The sequence below is a fragment of the Homo sapiens genome, chromosome 7, assembly GCF_000001405.40.
Source record: "Homo sapiens chromosome 7, GRCh38.p14 Primary Assembly".
Lineage (NCBI taxonomy): Eukaryota > Metazoa > Chordata > Mammalia > Primates > Hominidae > Homo > Homo sapiens.
The window spans coordinates 96441626-96448917 of NC_000007.14; the positions used below are offsets into that span (position 1 = coordinate 96441626).

Genomic DNA, 7292 nt, shown 5'->3' on the forward strand with positions numbered 1-7292 from the left:
AGGGATTGGTATGAGGTAGCTTAGAGAGGAATATAAATTCCACACCATGCAGAGCTTTGTAAGACAGGGCAATGAGTTCTTTCATTATGAAAAAACTCTGAAACACTTTAAGTATGTAAGTGGCATGGTTTGATTTACGTTCTATAAAGCTCACAATGGCTATTGTGTAGAAAATGGATTACCAAAGGGGCAAGAATGGAAGCAGGGAGACTAGTTTTGAGGCTATTGCAAAATTAGACAAGAGATAATTATAGCCTGTTCCAGAGGTGGTCAGTGGGAAAGAGCAGAAGCAGATAGACTAAAGCTATAAAAAGCATTTGCAGAGCTTGCTGAGAGGTAGCAGGGAGAGAAAAGGAAGGAACGAGGATGATTCTTAGGTCTTTTGCTGAGCAAATGAGTGGCTGGAAATGCCTTTTACTAAGATGGAGAAGACTAAGAACAAAACAGTTTAGGAAAATTTCTCAATAGGTCTATTTGAGAAATGTGAACTGTCTGATCTGTACAAGGAGGTCTGTATTGGACACGTTATGCTCTCTCTCTCAGAGATACATCCAATTGGCCCATTTCATCTTTTAGAGTCTGGTCACACCAGCACATTGTCTAGCTTATGTTATGATTTCTCTTGTATTAAGTGATTCCACCTTTCCAGTCAGCTGGGGCTGTGGGGGCAATGGAGGTTCATGCAACCCAATTCAGCACCCTGGCAGGGCAGGCCCGGTAAACACACTCATACTTAGGGATATAATGTCTGCCTATCTTACTTCACAGGGTTATGATGGGGGTTAAATGGGAATTCTGTAGGTGATAGCACTTTGTAAACTAAAATGATCACAAATGTAATGGGTTTAAAGGACCCTAAAGGCTGTTTAATTTACCAAACCTGCATATTTATGCCAATTTTACTAAATCACTGGAAAAATTATAATAAACTTTTATTTAATCTTACTGGTTGTTGCCAGATGCTAACAAAAATGTAGCAAAAACTCACATACTTTTGTGCTCAGTGGAAGGTAATTTAGCCCAAAGGCTAAATTGGGTCCATAAAACTTGAATAACAACTTAATTTCTTTGTATTAATTGAGGGGTAAATAATCCCTAATACTGTAACTAGCAATTGCATGTAGCCTGGTGCTCTGTTGGTACAAGGCCCATTTGTTGTTGATATTCTTACCTCCTGGCAAAAGTGAGAGGAATTGCTTAAAATAAGAATAGGGAGTTGGCCAGGTGTGGTGGCTCATATCTGTAGTCCCTAGGCTTTGGGAGGCCCAAATGGGGAGATCTCCTGAGCCCAGGAGTTCCAGACCAGCCTGGGCAACATGGTAAAACCCCATCTCTACAAAAAAATACAATAATTAGTCAGGTGTTGTGGCATGTTCCTGTAGTCCCAGTTACTCAGGAGGCTGATGTGGGAGGATCACTTGAGCCTGGAAGGCAGTGGTTGCAAGGAGCCGAGATTGTGCCGCTATACACCAGCCTGGACAACAGAGTGAGACTATGTCAAAAAAAAAAAAAAAAAAAGGCTGTGTGTGGGGGCTTGTTTCAACACTTGCTCCTCTCTTTCAGTTGTTCACTATCCCCAGAACTCAGGCTTCCCTGCTACTAATCTGTGGCCCAAACTTTCTCAGGTCTAATCCTATCCTCTACTCAGGGCTGGCTTCAAGGGCATGTGATCTTTCTTCATGGGCATGTGGCCTATGTCGTTTAGGGCATGTGATCTTCATAAGCATGTGACCTGTGCCATTGCACATGGTCCCATGCTCAAAAGTGTCCCACACTCATGCTCTGCTGCCTCTGTTTGGAAATTTTTAAGAATTTTTATCTTTGAACTTGTGTTTCATAAAGTATGATGGGACAATAAAGCTTGCATCTGAGCATAGGAGATCCATGCAGTATAGCTTCTCCATTCTGCCTAGCTGTCCCATCTGCAGATAGCATTCCCACTGCCCCAGGCACACAGAATTCTGGTGGACCCATGAAACAAGCGAATTCAGCAAGACTCAAAGCAAGTATAAGGTGAGGGTGCTACATCCAGGACTCGTGTGTGTGTGTGTGTATGTGTGTATGTGTGTGTCTGTGTGTGTGTGTGTGTGTAGGGTATGCAAATGGTCTCAAAAGACCACATTTTCTGTTCAAACCAGAATTTGTTTCAAACACAGGAAGAATGCAATGTTCTAAGAAACATATAACCAGGGAACCTTGTCACATCTTTTGTTTTATTAATTCCCTGTATTAGTAAATCAGTTGTGCTAAAAATAGCATAGAAGGAAAGGGAAACATGGGGCAACTCACAGTACCTTTTCCTTTCATTCTTTCTTTACTCATCCGCAAGTTGAGGGTAGGGCATGTTGGTAAAATATGTGCATATTGAGAAGTAAAATTAAAAACTGACTTTTGTGCATCATTTCCACTCTCCTGGTAATAACAAAATACATATGCATGTTTAGCTAATTTAACAGCTAAAAGTGTCATATTTTAGCATGATCCTTTTTCATCTGAGTGTTATAGTAGGCCCCCGTGTCCCAGGTTCTGTATCATGGACTTAACTAAGGATTGAAACTATTTGGAAAAGAAATTGTACCTGTACTGATGTATATAGATTTTCTCCATATCATTAATCCCTAAACAATACAGTATAACAACTTTTTACATAGTATTTACATTGTATTTGGTATTCTAGGTAGTCTAGAGATAATTTAAAGTATTTGGGAGCACGTGCTTAGTTATATGCAAATACTACACCATTATACATAAGGAATTGGGCATCTTTGGATTTTGACATCCTCAGAATGTCTTGGAACCAATTCCCCACAGATACTTAGGGCCACTTTCCTTTGAAAGGTCTTAAAATTAGTGCATTTGTTTAAGAATTAAAATAATCCCTCAAGAATTCTATAGAAACTATTATTAATTTGCCTTATGGATTGGTTATTGACAATGCAAAAGTTAATCGCTTTAATTTTAAAATTAATAAGGTTTAATTCAGATTTTATTGGACTCAATTTCTTAATGAATCACTGAAAATGTAACTATATAGAAAGCTTTTGTCTGTAACATCTGTGAGGAGGCATAGTTCTTGCCTATTACAGTGGAGGAAATTCTACTTGGAGAACATGCCTGTATTCTTGCCCCATCCTAGCTGCTTCCTTGGAGGAGGAGAGACTTAATTTGGTTACTGAGTTTGGAAAAAGAAGCTAGGCCTGCAAAGCCAACTCCTTTTTCTTCAGCAGGCAGCCACCAGCAGGAGCATATCTTCTTCTTAGCTCCTTGGTTCAGACAGTTTTCCCACAAGACGTGGTCTAGCAGTTCAGGCATTGAGTGGGTAAATTCTAATTCTGGGGTCTAAGTCCTATCAGAAAGCCTGTGATAGAAGCCACATTCTCTAATATGATGTTTAATATAGTTACTTTTTTTTTTTTTTTGAGACAGAGTCTTTCTCTGTAGCCCAGGCTGGAGTGCAGTGGCATGATCACAGCTCGCTACAGCCTCGACCTCCTGGGCTGAAGTGATCCTCCTGACTTGGCCTCCCAAAGTGCTGAGGCTACAGGTATGAGCCACCACACTTGGCGGGTAGTGGTACATTTTGATTTCTTAAAAATATGGAGGTAATTTCCCTGAGAGTATAGTAAAATCTGAGTTGAACTCTACCAATTTAAAGTACAGGCGATATGGGTGCCCATTCACCTTAACTTTTTGTCTTGCTTTTCATTTGGTTCTGAACTCAGGGGGAAGAAGGCAGGGATGCTCTTTATTAGGTCCTTTCAGTACCAACAAGGTCAACACCATTACTTCTACTATTGGTGACAACTTCAGCAAAACTCCATGATGAGATGGGACTTGTTGCCTCCATTTTCATTTCTACTTTTATGTTCTTTTTATATCCTATGTAGTGGCTAACATGGCTTAAGCATAGAGGAGTTTTTTATAATATTCCCAAGGAGAAAAGTGAAGGTGAGGTAAATAAAACTCTGAAACATGCCATGTGGCAGACAGACCATGGCCTGGTGACTGGGCTTCCAAGATCCAGGGCTTGTACTTTTCTGTCCTAGACTTTTCTAAGAATGGGGAGACAGGGAACAGCAAATTGGTCCAGTGAAATATCTCAATCCGGTCAGATTCAGCTCTAGTCTAGACATGGAGGGGATGCTCTACACAGAATTTCCACTGAAAGTGGGAGGTCCAAGATTAGAACAATCAATCAGAGGACCTTGGTTTAAATTATTACTCTTTGGCAGGCTTGTCAGGTTGTCCTAAGAGCTTTCTCTAAGATCTTTTATGGTTAATAACTGCCATCCCAGTCTCGCTCCCCCCATCCCCCACCAAATGGCTACAGATGAATTACCTAATTCCATTGCTTTAAAAAGAGTTTCTGTCAGAAGAGATGGAAACAAGAGGACATATTTCAAAATCATCCTCTCTTGTCCCATTAAATCAAAATTTTAGACAAAACTGCCTTGACTCCTAACAGTCTTGTAACAGAAAAATATTCACAACCAACTGTTCTTCGGCAGAGAAAGCTCTGTGGACTAATGAGCTCCAGATAGCTTTAGGGGTGGTCAGCAGACCTCAATGGATTCTGTGAAGTCCCACCTTGGGTTTCCTCTTTTAATGATGTCCAAAATAGACCCTTTCAGCTATTTATAAACTTTCTAAAATTAGCAAGAGAAAAACAGAGTTGCAAGCTGAAGCCATGGGATACTTCATTACCTCAGTTATTAGCCTGACAAAATAAGTGACTTTCCATTAAACAGCAGTGACAGAAAAGGAGGAGGGTTTAGAGGTCAATAGCTCCTGTGATACGAATCCCTAAATGTAGCCTTTCTCTAGGGACTGTCGGAATTAACTGCTGACAAGCTAATTGCTCTTATTCCCTAATTAACCAAGCCTGGCTTCATTAGTAGTTTGTGGCAATTGGACAACATTTTCAAGGATCTAAAGATCTACCCAATAATAATTAGTAAACAACTGAAATGAAACCAGCCTCCACTTGTTGACAAGATTAATTGAATAATTATTGTTTCATTGAGAATAAAAAGAGCAAAGAAATGTAGCTCGGGAATCTGCAGCAGTCTTTCCTTGGGCAAAATTTCCTCAGAAACACACAAAAGCTTTCTGTTAAGAAGAGCTGCTGGCTAGGTGCTGCGGCTCACGCCTGTAATCCCGGCACTTTGGGAGGCTGAGGCGGGTGGATCACCTGAGGTCAGGAGTTCGAGACCAGCCTGGCCAACATGGCGAAACCCCATCTCTACTAAAAGTACAAAAATTAGCTGGGCGTGGTGGCAGGCACCTGTAATCCCAGGTACTCAAGAGGCTGAGGCAGAAGAATCGCTTGAACTCGGGAGGTGGAGGTTGCAGTGAGCCAAGATGGCACCACTGCACTTCAGGCTGGGAGAAAAGAGTGAGACTCCGTCTCAAAAACAAAACAAAACAAAACAGAAGAGCTGCTGAATCTGATCTATCCAAAAAATCCCAACATGGAATTTAATATTGAATTCGTTATGATTTATTGGGTCTTAACTATTTTCAATAAAGTGTACTTTTTCATATATACACTTAACATCTTTATATATCATTTAAAACACTAATCACATTGATAGATTTTGAACAGGCATCTAACAAATGCTTTACACATATATAACTTTGCAAAAACTAATTGATTCAGCAAAGCAAATTGTACTCTGAAACGACTTGGCAAATATCTCAGAACAAAGTGTTTGGTTTAGTTTGGCTTAATAGCTGTGATTTTTTGAAATTGTTTGACTGGTTTTTCAGTACTGAATGCAAAAGACAAAAATGTACATCAAATTTCCATGGAAATTCGTTTTTGTGTGTAATAATTAAGCACTATTGAGGATTTTGAAGTTTGAAAATTGGTCACTGTGGATGGGTCATGATTTCGTTGTACTTGAGCCTGTTTTTTTCTTGTCAAAAATGATTTCAACCACACAGATCAAACTTGTCAGTAATAAAGGATCCTGGCTGTCTCAGACACGATAGTTTCCTCTGGAGACTTGATAGACTGTTGGTAAAAACCCATTTTAAAAGGTCTGGATATTTGCCGACCCCTCTATCAGCGGGAAATAAGATCTCTTGGATGACCACAGGGGTGTCTACTCGTCTTATTAGAGGAGGAAGAGGGGAATCTATCATTTTCTTCCAGAATTGACTGATATTACTGGGCAAGCTTGAAAGCTGAGGGGAAACTCTGAACATGGAATCTAGAATGGGGGCGCTCAGCCACCTCCATGTGACAACATTATAAACCTTAGGGGAATGTACTCCAACAAATTCCACTAAGGTGAGGAAATGGTGATGGTGGTAATAACAGTGGCAGCAATTGCTAGTGCTAAGTACTATACATGCATTTAATCCATACAAGGAACTTCCCTTCCTGCAAGGGAAGTTTCCTTTTTTCCCCAGTTTATAAATGAGGAAACTGAGGCTCAGAAAAGCCAGGTCTCTTTTAAAGGTTCATATAGCTGATCAGTGGAGGAGGAGGACTCAAACCTAGATCTCTCTAGCATCCAACCAGGATGGCAGCCAAGAACTTATCTACTAGAATCATGGTTATACAGATGGTTATATAGAATCTAGATGATCTAGAATCAAACAATACAATTTGGAAACAAGAAAAAAAATTAGTGTATCGGAGTTAGTGAATTGAAAAATCACATTTCACTGAGAAACTGCGTTGGACATAGCCCTGGAGTTGAATTTGTGCTCACCATAAACTGAAAAAGTGCTGGAGATGTCTTCGCTGTGGGTAAATTAATGTCAGTTCTCAGATGGAAGAGCCTGCATGGGCCTCACAATGGGAACAGCAATAGAAGGAGTAAGGTCTGGCAGCCTCAGAGTAGTAGAAGCAGAATTACATTAGACCGGGTCCTGGCTGTTAGGACAAAGCTCCAAAGGGCTGAGGGATGAAAGCATGGTAGTTGGCAGAAAAGTCCACATGTTGGAGAGAAGGGATAGGCTGGGAATCAGGAAACCTGGGTTTATCCTGGCTCTGCCCTTTGACTAACCCTGGACAAATCACTCCAGATCACATGATTCTCAGCCCAGGTGGAACCAGAACCACTCTCTCTCAGTATCTGAATTCGGTCAGCACCTGTACGGGAGGGCACTGCAGTTACTTAGCTGGGGGCCAGGGGTGCTAAGTGACTACTATGCATCGGCCAATCCTGTGTGGTAAAGACTGCTTCTGCCCACAAATGCCAGGGATGTCCCCATTGAAAAACAGTCCACCCTCCAGATGCCTCATCCATGCATGGAGGGAATAGAATTTCTATCTTAAA

The 7292-nt window shown here is 40.9% G+C and overlaps 1 long non-coding RNA gene across 1 annotated transcript in view, besides 1 other annotated feature; it reads left to right on the forward strand.

Annotated features, from left to right (window-relative positions):
- Positions 1 to 3462, forward strand: part of LOC105375410 (uncharacterized) — an 86586-nt gene extending 83124 nt beyond the window's left edge. Inside the window, exon 5 of the long non-coding RNA XR_927779.3 lies at positions 3427 to 3462. This is a non-coding gene — a long non-coding RNA (uncharacterized LOC105375410). The remainder of the gene's footprint in view (positions 1 to 3426) is intronic.
- Positions 4468 to 5054: an enhancer, noted in NCBI's record as "VISTA enhancer hs2312; eDlx#19 fragment used in the reporter transgenes". NCBI's record gives its function as "enhancer in: branchial arch[3/3]; activates a Hs p68 promoter in branchial arch of transgenic mice, or an E1b promoter in branchial arch and pectoral fin of transgenic zebrafish {active_cell/tissue: branchial arch | fin}" and the evidence as "EXISTENCE:transgenic organism evidence [ECO:0001131][PMID:17130149, PMID:22914741]".